The sequence below is a fragment of the Homo sapiens genome, chromosome 10 (genome assembly GCF_000001405.40).
Source record: "Homo sapiens chromosome 10, GRCh38.p14 Primary Assembly".
NCBI classification, from domain to species: Eukaryota; Metazoa; Chordata; class Mammalia; order Primates; family Hominidae; genus Homo; species Homo sapiens.
Genome location: NC_000010.11, coordinates 59286917 through 59304943, shown reverse-complemented (window position 1 = coordinate 59304943; position 18027 = coordinate 59286917). Strand labels below are relative to the sequence as shown.

At 41.7% G+C, this 18027-nt stretch overlaps 1 protein-coding gene across 24 annotated transcripts in view; it reads left to right on the top strand.

The window, feature by feature from the left end:
• FAM13C (family with sequence similarity 13 member C) overlaps positions 1-18027 on the top strand; it is a 117053-nt gene that overhangs the window by 58238 nt on the left and 40788 nt on the right. For 23 of the 24 annotated variants that reach the window (XM_006717702.4, NM_001347845.1, XM_017015891.2 and 20 more), the window contains 1 exon segment: positions 2080-2143. In XM_006717702.4, the coding sequence (XP_006717765.1) occupies positions 2080-2143 (64 nt within the window). 24 annotated transcript variants of the gene reach the window in all.

The window sequence follows — 18027 nt, the reverse complement described above, 5'->3', positions numbered from 1 at the left end:
AGAGAGGAAGCAAGAGAGTGAAACCAAGGAAGCCAGACTCTTTTCAACAAGCTGTTCTCTAGGGAACAAATGCCCTCCCTTTCCCTTCCCCTCCCCCTCCCCCTCCCCCGCCCCCTCCCCTTCCCCTTTCCTTCCCTTCCCTTCCCTTCCCTTCCCTTCCCTTCCCTTCCCTTCCCTTCCCTCTTTTTATTTATTTTAAGTTCAGGGTACAAGTGCAGGCTTGTTTCACAGGTAAACTTGTGTCATGCGGGTTTGTTGTACAGATTATTTAATCACCCAGGTATTAAGCCTAGTACCCATTAGTTATTTTTTCCTGATCCTCTCCCTCCTCCCACCTGCCACCCTCTGAAAGGCCCCAGTGTGTGTTGTCCCCCTCTATGTGTCTCATAGATTGATGTGTTCTCATCATTTAGCTCCCACTTATAAGTGAAAATATGCGGTATTTGGTTTTCACTCAAAATTATAAAAACCCTGGAAGACAAACTAGGCAATATGATTTAGGACACAGGCCTAGACAAAGATTTCATGACAGTGATGCCAAAAGCAGTTGCAACAATAGCAAAAATTGACAGATGGGATCTAATTAAATGAAAGAGCATATGCATAGCAAAAGAACTTATTGACAGAGTAAACAGGCAATCTACAGAATGGGAAAAAATTTTTGCAAACTACCCATCCCTCAAAGGTCTGATATCCAGCATCTATAAGGAACTTAAACAAATCTACAAGAAAAAAACCAAGCAACCTCATAAAAGAAGTAGGCAAAGGACATGAACAGACACTTTTCTGTTTTTTTGAGACTGAGTCTCACTCCGTCGCTCAGGCTGGAGTGCAGTGACGCAATCTCAGCTTATTGCAACCTCCGCCTCCCAGGTTCAAGCAATTCTCGTGCCTCAGCCTCCCAAGTAGCTGGGACTACAGGTGCCTGCCACCACGCCCCACTAATTTTTGTACTTTTAGTAGAGACAGGGTTTCACCATATTGCCCAGGCTGGTCTCAAACTCCTGACCTAGTGACCTGCATGCCTCAGCCTCCCAAAGTGCTGGGATTACAGGCATGAGCCACCGCGCCTGGCCGAACAGACACTTTAAAAGAAGACATACATGGAGCCAACAAACAAATGAAAAAAAGCTCACATCACTGATCATTAGAGAAATGCAAATCAAAACCACAATGGGAACAAATTTATTTCTGAGTAAGAGCTCACTTCCTTATCCCTCCCCTGTCACAGATCCCATGACCCAAACCCCTCCCACTAGGCCCCACCTCCCAACACTGCCACACTGGGGATCAAATTTCAACATGAGTTTTGGTGGGAACAAACCACATCCAAACCATTGCACCATGGTACCCAGCATATATTATAACATTTATTGTGTAAGTTAAGAGATAGGATGAAATTTCCATAAGCTGTCTTCAGCAGACAAATGGTATCTTTCTGCAACTGTATCAGATCACATTCATTCAATCAAAACAATTATTGAATTTTTAATAGGTGAGGTTTTAGCAGTATAGAAAATAAACATAATCAATACCTCCTTGGAGCTTACACTTTACTGTGGACATGCAAATAAATGTATAATTTCAATAGGAGGAAGTGCTAAGAAGAAAATGTACAGGACTGTATGCTAGAGAGTGAGGGTGAGGGCATGTCTTGTCTAGTTAGGGAGGCCTCCTTGGGGAGGTGCCCTGTGAGCTGAGCCGATGCATACATGGTGATAAGAGTGAATTGTATGCAGATCCCAGGGGAGAGCAGTCTGGGCTCAGGCACAGCAAGTGTGAAGGTTTGAACAGGGAGCAAGCACTACCTGTTCAAGGAACAGAGAGAAGGCCAGGGTGGCTGGAGTGTGGTGAACAAGGGTGAGAGTGGTAGGAGAGGGGACCAGGGAGGCTGTCAGGGTTCAAGTGCTATAATGTGCTGCAGGCCATTGTAAGGAGTCTGTATTTTATTCTACAGGCAGTGGGACACAACCAAGGGTTTTTATCAGGGGTACAGCCAGATTTGTAGCCACCAGCTTCACATGTACATCACTGAAACGTTTCTTTTAAATGGAAATAATTTTTCTTTGTATTTTATAGAATAGACCAGAGGACTGCCATTTCGCCAAAGGATGCTTTTGAAACTCGGCAGGACTTAAATGAGGTACGTGCAATCATTACTGGTTATAAGAACATGAATTAGCCAATCATGAGATTTACTATTCTTTTTCACAGTACTAGGAATTCATTCTCATGAAAACTTAGTATTTTTGCTTTTAAGTGAACTTGTAATACTTATAGTTCTTTGTTCAATTGGTAATGTTTTTCCTTTTTCCGGAGCAAACATTTAAAATACTGTTTGTGAGGTGGCTTGCGATGTCTTGGCCCTAACCCAAGTCCAGCAGTCATTTTGTTACACTCTTTTCAGCTTTGCTTCAGGATTGTATAACCGTGGCGATGACAGTTAACATTTGCAAAATTTTCTCTTAATTTTATTTTGTCTACATCTCTGTTTTTCCTAACAGCTTCTGCAATTTCAAACATAATCATACTTACTGTTTATCCACTAAGAATGATATAGTTTAGTGTTTGCAATGTGATTTTCTTAGTAGACTTCAAGACGTGAAGCCGTATTTTCCAATCCAAATCATTTCCCACCAAACTGGACATCATGATGTTAATTAGCTTGTTCTGGATTTTCTTTGGAATATGTAATTGAATTCTCCTGTATGAAATTAATGTAATATAATTATGATATCTATTATAATGAATGCCATTGTTTAAGACATTGGTTTGGAATACTCTCTCTGGCTCTTCTTGTCCTCATTGTAAATTAAGTAGTAGTAGGTGGTATTTAGTACGTCTGATTAAGGTCATAGCAAAGAGAATGAAAAGACCTGATGATCAGATGCCAAAAAGAGAAATGATGGGGCTTTACCGCAAATTGTTTATTTGACGTTTTGAAGATGCATCCCTTCCTCCTCTTCCTCTCCCACCCCACAAAAAGGGTATTTCACTTAATTTAGGTGATTTTATTTTTCTTTTCTTTCTTTTTGGTAGAACTTGGTAGAAATAAATAGCTAAAGGTAAACCAGCTGCTTGGTTAAGCCAAGTTAAATAGCTAAAGTGGTAAAAAGTGTCCTAAAGATAAGAACACAGAATTGTTATTTTTGTGTGTGTGCATACAGACAGGCTCCAAATTCTACAATCTTCCTCATAGTAGTGAGTGAAAAAGAGTTTAAGAGAAAAGAGGCAAGAGCCTGAATCAGTGAACGCAGCTGTCTGCCCCACTGTGAACAAGCAAAATGCTAGTTGTAAAGGAGCAAAGCTTTGTTTTGACATAAGTGACTAGAAAAATGAGGTGATTGTAAGAGTCAACTCATGATAACTTTCAAGTATTTGGGAGAAACTGTTTTTTGAGCTGCAAATCCATGGGAATGCTGAGATCACTTGAACATTCCCAAATCTCAGTTGTGAAAAGCTATATTTGAAAACCTGCTTTTCTGTATTCCTTCACTACATTGTGTTTGCAAATGACATGAAGTGTGCCAGCTCACTGCGCTGATTGCCTGAGCATAAGAGCACTGGATGGAGAAGTCCATCTGAAACAGCAGGCATCGCCATATTTTAAACGTGTGCATTTCCATACAGAGGTGACGCTGCTGATCCAGACTGGTTGAATACAGTATGTGCTGACAGTGTTTTTTTTTCCATCAGGGGGTGAACTATATAGATTGACCCACATTCTTTCACACAGTTTCTGTTATGGCCAAAATTTGGGAGACCAGAAAAGACCTTGGGGAAACTTGAAGGACGTGCAATATGAATGGGACAGAGATCATCAAAGAGGGTGGATGTGTTCACACTCATGGATTGAAATGTCCTGTATCATTCCCAGCATTTCTCAACTTATTGAACACCAAACTCTTTTATGGAAGAACCACCTAATAACATTTCTTTAGGCGACAGAGTCTCTATGGAACACAAATGGGAAACATTGCTATATTTTTAATGGGGATAGAAAATACATACAGAAAAGTGCACAGGTCATAGGTATACAGCTGAATGAATTCTTACAAAGTGTGCAACCAGCACATAAATCAAGAAACAAAATATTACCAGCATCCCAGATGCCTCTTTGTAATTCCTTCCAGTCGCTACTCTCCTATGAAGATAACTAGTATTTTTTAGTGTTTTATTCATGGATTACATATGCTCTTTTGTGTCTGGCTTCGTTTGCTCCATATTATATTCATGAGGGTCATTCATGTTTGGTATATAGTCATAGTTTTCATTTGCCTTGCTGTAACTCATTGTATACTTGTTTCTGGTTGTTGACCAGAGCTGCTGTTATCTTTCATATATATCTTTATTACTATGAGCTGTTTTCTAGCCTCTTTGTACAGCTGACTTTTTACAGGAGTATGCCTCCCATCTCTAAATAAACATGTAAGGTAGAACTTTTTGTTATGTTAGCTCTCTTCATTGGTTTTTGTTCCTTTATTTTATTTATTCACCACCTCCCCACACATCCTTATAAAGAACCTACCAGTTCCATAACTGCACTCTCTTCCATACCAACTTGCGAGTCTAAAACCAAAAAAGAGTTTCTTGAGCCTCATGAGAATCATGGTCCAAAAGTGTTTTCCAGATGTTTCCATATGTTGTACGTAGTAATAATTACAAGATGCTACCTACGTACCTTATACATTCCCCAAATTTTACATCTGGTATTTCACTTCTACTATTTGTACTTCTTTGTCCACTTGCTCTGTGACTGACAGATGGGGCTCAGCTTGATTCCAGAGCTGGCACTTGACCCGAGGTCTTCTCTGCCTGGCACAGTGATACATGGTGTAGCGTATCCATGTATGTTGTCTCTGTGTGTGTTTCTCATACTTTCCTAGTGGGCCGAAGAGCTCACTAACTTCTTGTTTCCACTTGGCATGAGTATAGATTTGACACCTGCCAGTCTCATTTTTCTTCTGCCAGCCTAGAGCTCCCAGTTTTTGACTTTGAGTCTCTTGATAGGAATTGCATTTTTTATTCCACATTTTTTGTTGTCTCTGGGACTAGAGTATAGGAGTTTTTTCCAGAAAAAAACTGATTAAATCTCCCTACTGACATTCACCTGAGCTGTATGACTCTGTCTCGGTAAGACATCAGATTTTGGGGGTTAGGATCTTTTGAATCCTGACTGGAAAATATTCTAGACTTGAGATCTGTCAGTGTCTCATCCACCTTAATCCTTGGTCTTAGTCAGTCTGCCAGTCCATGTAATCATAAGCATTCAATAGATCAGAAAGGTACTTGAAAGATAAAATGAAGAACAATGATTGTTTTTACTCTCTGTATGCTTGTAGATCACATTCCTTGCTTCAGTCCCAATTAAGAAAAATAACATATTTATAAAGAAAACGAATAAATCTCTCCTTCCCTGAAAAAAAAAAAAAGCCATATTGGGTCCTCAAACTACTGTTTCCAACTCCCAGACTATATATGAAAGAGCACCACATCAACTTCTTTTAGTTTCCTTTGTAAACTAAAACTACTGAGAAAAAAATTGGTAGACTCAACAGTGAGGGTCAAAAGGGGATGATAATCTTTTCTTCCCACCTTGCTTCCGCATTTCTAACTCTGTAGGAAGTTTTGAATTGGGCTAACTCTAGGTGTCCTTTCAGAGATTTTTTTTAAGTTTAATTAGATTTTTAAATGACAAATAATAATTGTACATTTGTATATATTTATGGGATACAATGTGATGTTTTGATATATTATGGAATGAACAAATCAGGCAAATTTGCATATTCAACACTTTGAATATGTATCAGTTCTTTGTGATGAGAACATTTAAAATCCTCTATTTCAGCTAATATACAATATATTATTATTAATTATAGTCACTGTGTGGTGCAATAAACCACCAGAACTGATTTATCCTTTCTAACTGAAACTTTATACCCATTCACTAATGTCTCCCCTTTCCCTGTCCACCTCCTTCCTCCCCACCAGCCTCTGGTAACCCTATTTTACTCTCTACTAAAAGTTTGGCTTTTTTAGATTCCACTTATAAGTGAGATCTTACAGTATTGAGGCCTTTCAATTTTAACATTCATTGATTCTACCCTTCTTCCATTTTCCCAGTGCTTGCAGAGTGTAGCCATAGCTTCCCATCAGGGATGGAATAAGGAAAACCAAGTAACTCATGGTTAAGGCCTCCTCCTGGCCAACCCACCATCTGAAGCCTAGTTTGGGGAGTGAATAGTAAGTAGTGCAATAGCAGTGACATATATGCTTAGCATAGTTATTTATCAGTCTCACATGAGAGACAGGCCACATTATTGTACGTGAAGAATTGTGATCAACTGGGGATCTGGAGTGGTATGGCTGGAGCAGACTGAAGCTCTGGGTCACCATGGGCCTTCTTTTCTTCTTTATTATACTCACCCAACCCAACTCTTATGTCATCATCATACAGAAGGAAGTTATCACCTCAAAAACTGTTCACGGCCTCTGTGCTCAGGAAAAACACTTTATTTTCTTATCTGATAGATACTTTGAAGGTATTCTGCATTTACCTTTTGGATAAAACAATGTCAGTTGAGTGAATATGAGTTTGTTTACATTTTACTTCTTACCTGGAATTTCAAGGCCATATAGGTAAGGTCAGCCACAAGCCAATTGACCTTGAAGGAGAAGCTTTGGTGGCCTTACATGGATTCCTTATTTCCCTTGTCTTTGAGGCTTATTGGCCATGAAACTCTCTTGTGCTGGCATTGACCATCACTATCGTTTATCCTCTCCAGGCCTAAGATGCCAGCTTATAAATCTGAAAAAAATAAAACAATCTTCTCATGGGTTAATGGGTTTACCCAAGAGAGATGTGTTGAGCACAAAGAAGCAGATGCTAAATAATCCTGGAATGCAAAAATGGATAAATGTTGCATGAGTCTTTTGCACACCAGTAAACTCTATACCTCCAATGGCGGGGATTTCAAGGTAGCTAAGACTTAAGGCATCAATGGGAGAAATACTTCTAGGTGGATATACTGACTTTTTTTTTTGTCCCCAGAGTAAAACCATAGAGACAGGTGTCTGTCTCCCCCAGGTATGTTTCCCACATGGTAAGGAGTCTAAGTGGGATGACTCACTGTAGGAACATAGAAAAATCTAAAACCTTAATAAAATTAGGAGGACAGAATAAGTTCAGTTGCAGGGAGTGAATGAGATAGAGGGGATGGGGACTGTGTTTAGAAGGTTTGAGATCCTTGAAGTTTATTGCAACTTGCTGAGGCAGCCAGCCATAGTGAAGTGGAAGGAACCCTGGAACTGAGGGGGTTGAGGAATTATGAAGCCAGACAATAGCATGATTGTCAGCCTGGACCTTGAAGTAACTGAATGTCAGGGGCCACTGATGGAGAGGAAGAAACCAACCCAGATGGAAGTCGCTGAGTCCTATAATATTCAGGTCATGGAATAGGAAAGGATGGTGTTGTCTTTTGTAGGGGAGAAGAAATTGGTAGACTCAACAGTGAGGGTCAAAAGGGGATGATAATCTATTCATCCCACCTTGCTTCCCCATTTCTAACTGTGAGGTAGAGAGTAGGAAAGAGAAATGATTTTTGAAGGTGGAGAAATTTCAGTCACATTGTTACTTCATAAGGAATGTTAACACCGTCACACTGGCTAAGCCATTTCACCTGGTAACTAGCAGAACCTAAAACATCTGAAAAAGGCAAGCACAAGTTCTCTGATACTGCATTGTGCTCCCTTTATGAGTGCTTTGTCCATTTATGCCCAAGGTTGCAATGTTTTGAATTTTTGCAATCAGACCTTGGCAATGACTTTGAGCAGTAGGATATAAATAACTCCCACATGCTTCGCGTTCCAATAATGGAACACTAGGCATAAATGGGTTAGAGTGAGAGGATAATAGCATCTCTTTAATGGAAAGAATATTACTGTAACTCTATTCTGAAGACTCCATTTTGAGTGCTCTTTGTGTTTATAGAATAAGGTAGAAATATTTTTGCTGTTAATTGACCCTACAGGGCATTCTAAAGGTATGTTCTGCCTCTGTTGTTGCTTTGAAATTTAGTATTGACTTTATCAAAAATAGCCAGGAGATTTCCAGATTTGTGTGTGTCCTCATCACTCTCATTGGTTACTGGGGAACCAGAGGAAGAGAAGATGCTCACAATGAGCATGGATTCAGACTTGTGTTATATTCTGACTGTGGTTCTACCAAAAGAGGATAAATTCCTTAGGAATACCATTAGAATCTAGAGGAAGAGGCTATCTTATAAGAAACAAATGTAATAAATTACTAGCATGCAACAGATGTTCAATAATGACCTAATATCAATATTAAGAAGTTTAACCTTGGATCTATAATTGCAGTCTTATTCTACAAAGGAGATACCTATTTTTATTTAGCTTGGTATAAAAGAGATGATTTATTTACCTGAAATCAATATGAAAAATTAATTTTTCTTCCCATACTACTGTTAACTCTTATCTGTTCAATTATGCTGGTCATAATAACTAAACTTTAGCCTCAATGTCAAAGATATCGATGAAGAATCCTTTAATATGTTAATTTTGTTAAAAGTAGGACAATTTGCACACATGCAGTGTCCCTCTTTGAGTCGGTATGCATGTGTCTATGCCTCTGTGTATCTCCATGTGAAGGACTAGATTGTGTTTTTATTGCATCCACAGTTTATCATATAGGTATTTTGGCATCAAACCATGTCAAGCCTCAAGATGGTACTTATTGTTTTGTTCAGGATGTGTTTCTTCCTCAAAATTGTGTTAATTTTGTGAAAATGGTCTAGGAAGAGGCTTCCTAGGCCTTTAACATTCTTGAGCTGACTGAATGGTATTATTTCTGTAAGAATAGGCAGCTCTATTTTTCTATTCAAATGCAAACCCAGTCTATAGGGTTAGGCCTTAGTTTGGGATTGAGTGAGGGTGTTTTAAAAAGTATCTGTGATTCTTTCGGTGTGACTGAAAGTCAATTCAACTTGGTTTTAATAAGAACAGGATGTTATTGACATATAGCAGAAAACTTAGGATCAGGATAGGCTCTATGCATGGCTAGGTCCAGGGATTGAAAACTCATCACTGGAGATGCCATCTATTTCTATCTCTGGGTTCTTCTTTTTCTATATTGGCTTCATCTTTATTTAGGTCAGCCCCTTTTTAGGGACAAATTATTTAGTAATTCCAGTGTATATTAGTTTTCTATTAATGGGTAATAAATTACCAAGAGCTTAGTGGCTTTAAACATTTATTTATTAGCTTACAGTTATGTAGGTCAGAAATGTGGGTGGACTCAACTGGGTTTTCTGCTTAGGGTTTCATGAAATTGAAATCTAGGCACTGGCTGGGGTAGTTTCTTATCTGGAGGTTCTGGAGAAAAGCCCCCGTCCCAGCTTCTTCAGGTCATTGCCTGAATTTAGTTCCTTGTAGTTGTGCAACTGTGTGTCCTGCTTCCTTGCTGGGTGTCACCTGAGGGCAGCTCTCAGCTTCTAGAGGCTGTCACACTCCCCCTCCTCACCCTTTATCTTGGAGCCAGCAACAGCGTGGCAAATCCTTCTTGTGCTTTGAATTTCTATAATGTTGTCTTTTGCTACCAACTGGAAGAAACTCTGTGCATTTTAAAGGCCTCCCCGATTGGTCCAGGCTCAGCCAAGTAATCTGTATCTTTGGTCAGCTAAGTTAAAGCTTTAATTACATTTGCAAATCTCTTCATAGAAGTACCTAGATTAGTGTTTGATTATGTTATCAGGATATTAGGATTCTGCCTACCACACAGTGAAATAAGAGTCTCTCCTTCCCAGTTCTAAAAAGTCCCATACTTCAGTCTGATTTATCTGGCTTGGGGCATGTGCCCATTTCTGAACCAGTTCCTGTGATGTTGGTGTTTGGAATAAGCTGATTTGTTAGACTTGGGCCATATTTCCCACTTAGGATCTAGGAGTGCTATTCTCAGAAGATAAGTAATTAGATGCTGCATAATGTTGGTCTCTGGAAGCATGATCTCCAAGGTAATTTTCCTCTCTGCTGGACCCCTGCAGGATGCCACTTAGCATTTTTCTGGTATGGCTTTCTGAGTTGAGGTAGAGTCACCTTGCTCCCCTACCAAGGTTTGTTCCTCAGCTGGAGCAGTATCCTATGATTCATTTAATTTTAGACAACTTTTGTTATCAGTGTCAATGAGGACATCCCGTAGCCAACATGTTCACGGTGTGAATACTAGTTCTCATTCCCAGCTGAATGAACTGCATGGCAAAAAAGTTCTGAATGGCTTCCAGGCCTGCTTTATTCTGCCCCATTGTTCAGATGCAGGTATCTAGCCTGCTTTCTTATTTCCAGGGAAACCAGGTCTGTGAGCCTCACCCTCAGGGGAATCCTTAGTGTGGTGTTGGCAGAAAAAGTGGAAGCCATGCCAGCAGCTGCCTCTATTTTTCCTTGTCTGGGAACTGCCTTGGAGAAGCATCAGAGGTGTTGGGCTGAGCAGAGGCATTGAGGCAGGACTTGCCTAGTTGACCCACCTGTGCTGCCTTTTGCCTGGCAGCCTACCCATCTCCCCAGCTCCTCTGTCCCTTTGTCCCATTGGCTCCTCCTGTTTTCTCTGGCATGACATCTTGATCCTTTTTCTTGTTGCTCATTCTTTCATGTATATCTCTTCATACTACTAATTTCCTACTCTCTCATGTAAGGCTGGAAGGAACTGTGTCCAGTTCAGTGGCTCCCGGGGCCAGCCTGTGCTGTAGTTTTTATTGCTTTTTGGCAAAAGTATAAACGTAAGAGCAATGAATATAGTGAGTTTTTTTATAAAGTCCATGAACAACCTTTCACTTAGAAATTGTTCTTAAAATTTTCATTTTGTGAGGAAATGATGGGGAGGGGATTTGTTTGTTTTCTTTCTTACATGCTCTCACTTGGTGAAATACAAAGTTGACAGCTTTCATAAATATATTCTGTTCCCCCTACCCCTGCTAACTTTTAGAAAATATTACTGCTGAACTGAAGACCAAATTTTTCCTGAGAGCTGTGACCTTTGAAATGTTTTCTTCTAAGGGTAATTCTTTCTTTCAACAGGATTTATTGAGAAGCAAATGTGTATCCAGCTTTGGGTCTGGTACAGGGGTGAGGTGAAACAGCTGCAGTACAAGAGTGGACTTTGCTGTCCTCACTTCCCAGAGGTTTACAGGGACACATATCAAGTCGGGACATCTGGCCTTCCTAGCCTTGGCACCTATTGTCTTTTTTAGGACATTTTTGGCCTTCTGAAGGTTATAAAACTCAAGTTTATAGAGAGACAAGAGCTGAATTTTCTTATTTTCTTACAAAATATTAGTATTTGACAACCTAAGTGTCTATCAACAGACAAATGGATAAAGAAAATATGGTACTTATATACAATGGAATATTATCCAGTCATAAAAAAGAGTGAAATATTGTCATTTACAGCAACATGGGTGATCCTGGAGAAAATTATATTAAATGAAATAAGCCAGTCACAGAAAGATAAACACTGCATGTTCTTGCTCATGTGTGAATGCTAAGAAAGTTGTTCTTGGCCGGGCGCAGTGGCTCACGCCTGTAATCCCAGCACTTTGGGAGGCCGAGGCGGGTGGATCACGAGGTCAGGAGATCGAGACCATCCAGGCTAACACGGTGAAACCCCGTCTCTACTAAAAATACAAAAAAAAATTAGCTGGGCATGGTGGTGGGCGCCTGTAGTCCCAGCTACTCAGGAGGCTGAGGCAGGAGAATGGCGTGAACCCAGGAGGTGGAGTTTGCATTGAGCTGAGATTGCACCACTGCACTCCATCCTGGGCAACAGAATGAGACTCCGTCTCAAAAAAAAAAAAAAAAAAAAAAGAAAAAGAAAAAATGTTGATCTCAGAAGTAGAGAGTAGAATAGTGGTTACTAGATGCTGGGAAGGGTAAGGGGGAGAGAGAGACAGGGAGGGATTGGTTAAAGGATATAAAATCATTGCTAGATAAGAGGAATAAGTTCTAGTATTCTACAGCACTGTAGTGTGACTCTCGTCAATAATGATTTACTACGGATTTTCAAATAGCTAGGAGAGAAGATTTTGAATGTTCCCAACACAAGCAAATGGTAAATATTTGAGGTAGTGAATAATCTCATTATTGTGATTTGATCACTATGTATGTATCAAAACTCACCGTGTACCCTGTAAATATGTATAATTATTATGTGTCAATTCAAAATTTAAAAATATATAACTTAAAAATTAGTATTTGAGGAAATGGCCATGCTTTCCAATGTGACCTGCCATCTTTAAAGGCATAGATATATGTTATTTCATATGGCATGTGATTTTATAATTTTCAGTGAATACTTACTGATTTCTAATAAATATTCATTGAATTTTAGAAAACGAAGGAGTTAAGGTAGTGTTATCAGAAAAAGTAGATGGCCTATGAGCCAGCATCATTTGGTGGTTTGCCCTGTGACACAGAATGAGCCAGATTAAGGGCCCAGTGGGCCATCTCCTGTGCTACCATCTTACTAAGTTTAGTTTTGAAGGTGAATATTTTTCAGGTCTAAAATAAATGGAAACAAAGCCACAAAGAAACAACCATATGGGCTACAACCCAGACTAGCTTTGGAGTTCAGCCCTTGGGATTTAATTAATGTTCTGGGAAAAATGACTGGTTAGGGGCTTATCCAACTTAAGACCTGTGCTTTTGGATAATTTAAGTACTAGTAACTCCATTGAGAAACTATTGAAGTTCATTCCATGAGTTGTAAGTGAGACACATTGTATTTTCAGAAAAATCAGTCTTATTATCTAGAAAAGCTCAGAGTTCTACTTTAAATTGGGAGTTTATAGGTCAGGCGCAGTGGCTCACACGTGTAATCCCAGCACTTTGGGAGGCCAAGGTGGGCGGACCACGAGGTCAGGAGATAGAGACCATCCTGGCTAATATGGTGAAACCCTGCCTCTACTAAAAATATAAAAAATTCGCCAGGCGTGATGGTGGGCGCCTGTAGTCCCAGCTACTCAGGAGGCTGAGGCAGGAGAATGGCGTGAACCCAGGAGGTGGAGCTTGCAGTGAGCCGAGATCACACCACTGCACTCCAGCCTGGGCGACAGAGCAAGACTCCATCTCAAAAAAAAAAAAAAAAAAAAAGGGAGTTTATAAAATGGTATTATTCTCTCCCAAACATCTTGTTCTTATTGTTCATTTAATAAAGTGAACATAACAAGGATATCATAATGAGGTGAAATCAAGTATAGGATTCCCCTTTCCAGGTTGAAGTCATTTAGCTTAAAGGAAATGTGGGTTTTATTATTGTATATTGTGGCTAGGTTGTCCTTGTTTAAAAAGAATTGCTGATAGGATCCAAATAAGACCTGGATTTTCTTGTCAACAGAAGGCTCCTTAAAGTGAATAGCTTGCTCTCCTACATTGAATTTCTCCTTTGGGAGGTGGCGGAGAGTGAGGGCTGAGCTCCTGAACAGAGGGAAGCTGGGGCGGGCTGAGCTGAGGTGTGCTGTGCTGCAAACCATGCTCAGACACAAGTGACGCTGTCCTCAGAGGGATTCGCCAAAAGTCCAATGTCTTTACTTTAGGGGAGGGATAAATTTGGCTTTTTCTTGTAATGGTCGACATTGGGAGAAGTCCCACTGTGTTGGCAAGAACATCCAGAAGTTCAGGAAGCAATACCTTCTTGCTTCTGAGCACTTCACACTTTATACCTCCTGGTAGGGGTGGGGGCAGCTTTCAAGGGAACCAACCGAAGGATAAAAAGGCAATGAGGGAGTCAGAGGGCTGGGGCTCAGAGAAAAGCTTCTGGCCCTGGGGCAAGTAGAGCTAAGTGGGCAACTGAGATATTTATAGTGTGTCAAGGCCCCAGGGAATAGGGCCCTTGGACTTCTTGTGTTGAAAGACCCTGCCTCAGACCTACTGAACCAGAATCTCTGGAATGGGCACGTCCTGGGAGTGCACGTCTTTTATAAACTCCCCTGTGATTTTTAAGCACTTTAAGGTTTCTAAACCAGGGCAGCAGGAGGGGTCAATATTGGATACTCAGAGACCCCTGCCCCCCCTGCAAATACTGGCTAAAGGACCCAGAAAGACAAAACTCAGATACAATGGCAGCCTTTTTATTGGTTGGCTCTTTTCTACACATTGCGCTAGGATGCAGCAGTAAACAATGGAGGTACGGTGCTAGCTCTCATGGAGCTGATAAACAATACACAAAATTACATAATGTGGCGAGCCTTGTGAAGGAAATAAACAAGATGCTAAAAGAGACACTAGGGGGCCCCCTGCTGAGATAAGATAATCAGAACTGGCTCAATAATTTGATGGGATCTTGGCCGAGAAACAACTAGAGCTGAGTAGGGTCTGAGGAGGAGGGGGCAGAGAGCAGGTGAATCAGCAGATGGAAAGGAAGGGTGTTGTATGTATGTGGGTGGGCATATATTCAAGAAACATTGAAATTCAGGGAAGAAGAGTGGTAAGTAGAAATGGAGACATTTGGAGACCCAGTCATGTCCCCAGTTTTGAGCAGATTTCCAACTTGATTTGCTTCATATCATCATAGGGAATCATATGCAATTCTTGGACAGATAAAAGGATGGGAGAGGAGGACTAAAGCCTTTCATACGAACTAAATGTAAGCTGTGCCTGCTCTGGGACTGGTGAATTGCAGACAAAGGCACCTTAAAATAGTATTTAACCATCCAGCCTGTGTGGGTGTTCTCTATTTCAACCCAACTAAAGTGGGACCTGAGTAATTGTAGAGGAGAGAAAATGAGTAGAGTATTTTCTAAAACAAGTAGCATATTCTCCATTATGTAAATGGGAAAAATTAGCTTTTTAAAGAAAACCACACCTACGTTTCACAGACTTCTCTCTGGCTTCTTTCTTAACCAGATGGGATAGTTGGAGCAGCAGGGGTGGTCATTGTTCTTTACAGGGTCTGTTAGCCCTTACTCAATTTTCCTGCAGATTCTAGACATTCGTTTGAGGAGACTTTGGATATAAACCAGGAAAAGCACTAGCAGTCTGGCCCTGAGTGACGGGCTTGGGGAGGCAGGGAGAGTGGAAGTCCTATCAGAGAGGGCTGGGTTGAGGTGGCACTAGGACTGTAGGGGTTTACTAGGACCTGGAATGAAGGGTCCCTCATCTTTCTGTAGAGGGAAAAGCATGTTCCTGCATTGAAGGTCACTAAGTCGGGCATGATGGAAGTGAAATGGGTGGTTAGTCACTCACTCCCTGGGCTTGCTGTTTCTTTCCTCCATAGCCCTATGACAATAATAACTGTCATGATTTTTTGATTTGTTTACTTGCTTATTAGTGATCTCCCACTAGACTGGAAGCCCCACGAGGAAGGGGCTGCTAATAGCCTCATACTGCAGAGCCTAGTGCAGCTCTTGCATGGAAAGCTGCCTGGCTTTCCATGTGGAGCTGGATGTGTGGCATCATGCCTGCAAGGTGGACACGAACTCTGCACATTCACTGCAAGCTGTCCTGAAGCCTTCTTGGGGTGGCTCTGCAGGGCACAGACCTGGTAGGACAGATCACCCATCCACTGGAAGGACATGTATGTGGCAGTGGTGTAGATCAGGGGTCTCCAACCCCAGAGCCATGGACCAGTACCGGCCTGTAGCCTGTTAGGACCTGGGCTGCACGGCCCGAGAAGATGAGCAGTGGGCAGCGAGCTTTACTGCCTGAGCTCCGCCTCCTGTCAGATCAGTGGTGGCATTAGATTCTCAGGAGCATGCACCCTATTGTGAACTGCGCATGCGAGGAATCTATGTTGCGTGCTCCTTTTGAGGATCTAATGCCTCATGATCTGAGGTGGAACAGTTTCATCCCAAAACAATCCCCGTGCCCCAGTCCATGGAAAAATTGTCTTCTGCAAAGCCGGTCCCTGGTGCCAAAAAGGTTGGGACTGCTAGTGTAGATTACTCATAGACAAATCTCCCCGTCCCCTTGTCATGGGTTCCTTGATCCTCAGAACAAGTATCTCTTCATGGACCCCATCCCACACAGTGTGTCCAAGTCCCCACTCTCTGTTCAGGAGGACTTACAAGTGGCCCATGGTGCCAAAAGGCAGACTGTCCTCAGGTAATGGGTCAGTGAGGGGTGGGAAGGAATATTACTGAGGACAGCTGGTCTGCAGAGTTTCTTCCTCTTTGCCTTCTTGTCCTCCATTTATAACAGTTTGTTTTCCCTTCTACTTGGGGATCTTCTTGTTTCTCCAGACCTTCATCTTTTGTCTCCTATTCCATTTGCCACTTAATTTCTTCCCTATTACTCTAAGTTTAGTCCTATCTAATAGCTGAAGAAGGAATAAACCAGCCACACAACTAGATCTCCTTTGACACTCAGAGTCTTGCTTAGTGTGAGTACAGTGAGGGAGAAAGTGGCAGAGGAAGATGGATGAGAACAACCGATGGATGCTTCTTCTTCTTCTTCTTTTTCCCCCTGTTGCCCAGTCTGGAGTGCAATGGCATGATCTTGGCTCACTGCACCCTCCACCTCCTGGGTTCAAGCAATTCTCATGCCTCTGCCACCCAAGTAGCTGGGATTACAGGAGTGTGCCACCATGCCTGGCTAAAGTTTTATATTTTTAGTAGAGAAGGGGTTTCACCATGTTGGCTAGGCTGGTCTTGAACTCCTGACCTCAAATGATCCACCCACCTCGGCCTCCCAAAGTGCTGGGATTATAGGCATAAGCCACTGCGCCCAGCCACCAATGGATAGTTCTAGCCATAACTGGGTCATGGCATTATACCTCTGTTCCTATGGGAGACCAGGGATCTCTGAATGTGAACTCCTGTGCAGTGAAATTCTTTGAAACCTATTTGTGTTGTCTGGACATTTGGTTCCGTTCCAAACACAGTGTCTAAGCACCCACTCCATGCCAGATTCTGTGCATCCATCTCCAGTCCATGTGCCTGTTTGCTTTTCTCTCCTTTAAAGTTGTAAGGGGACTTAGAAGTCATGTAGCCTAAGGGCCTTGCTAGGCAGGTGCAGAAATAAGACCCTGGGGGGTAAAGTGATGAGTCAAGGCCTCAGTGTCAGTGTAGTGTACAGCCTTGCCACATGGCCAGAGCTCTATCCGGCAGCCTTTGGGGTTTGGAGATAGTCATACTAAACACAGAATCCAGTCCTTGTGTGTTTGCAACATGCTGGTGCTCTGCAAAGTGCTTTCCAGCTTTCCATGATTTCCCTTGTTTAATTCTGAGAGCATCCCTTAGAGCAAGTACCATTGTTGTTGTTAACACTGCCCCTTTATACAGAGGACATTAAGGCCCAGAATAACTAGGATGCTTGGCCAAAGTCAGACACATGGTATGTAGCAAAGCTGACATTCCCTCTCGTTCTGTGGGAACCTGAAAGCTATGCCCTCTTCTGCTTTGCAGAATATACAAGAGCACTTACAAATTTGAGACAGGCAGCTGGTTCTACAATTAAAAAAAAAAGAATGAAAGGTAAAGTTAAAGAAAGAATGCTAGCCTTTCTTTTTACTTTACCTTTCATTCATTTTTAAAAATTCTTAAAATATATCTAACCTAAAATTTACCATTTAACTTTTTTTTTTTTTTTTTTTTTTTTTTTTTTGAGACAGAGTCTCACTCTGTCACCCAGGCTAGAGTGCAGTGGCATGATCTCCACTCACTGCAACCTCCACCTCCTGGGTACAAGCAATTGTCCTGTCTCAGACTCCCGAGTAGCTGGGACTACTGGCGCCCCCAACCATGCCCGGCTAATTTTTGTATTTTCAGTAGAGACAGGATTTCACCATATTGGTCAGGCTGGTCTCGAAGTCCTGACCTCAAGTGATCCTCCCACCTCTGCCTCCCAAAGTGCTGGGATTACAGGCGTGAGCCACCACACCTGGCCTTTTTTTTTTTTTTTTTTTTTGAGATGGAGTCTCGCTCTATTGCCCAGGCTGGAGTGCAATGGTGCGATCTTGGCTCACTGCATCCTCCACCTCCTGGGTTCAAGCGATTCTCCTGTCTCAGCCTCCTAAGTAGCTGG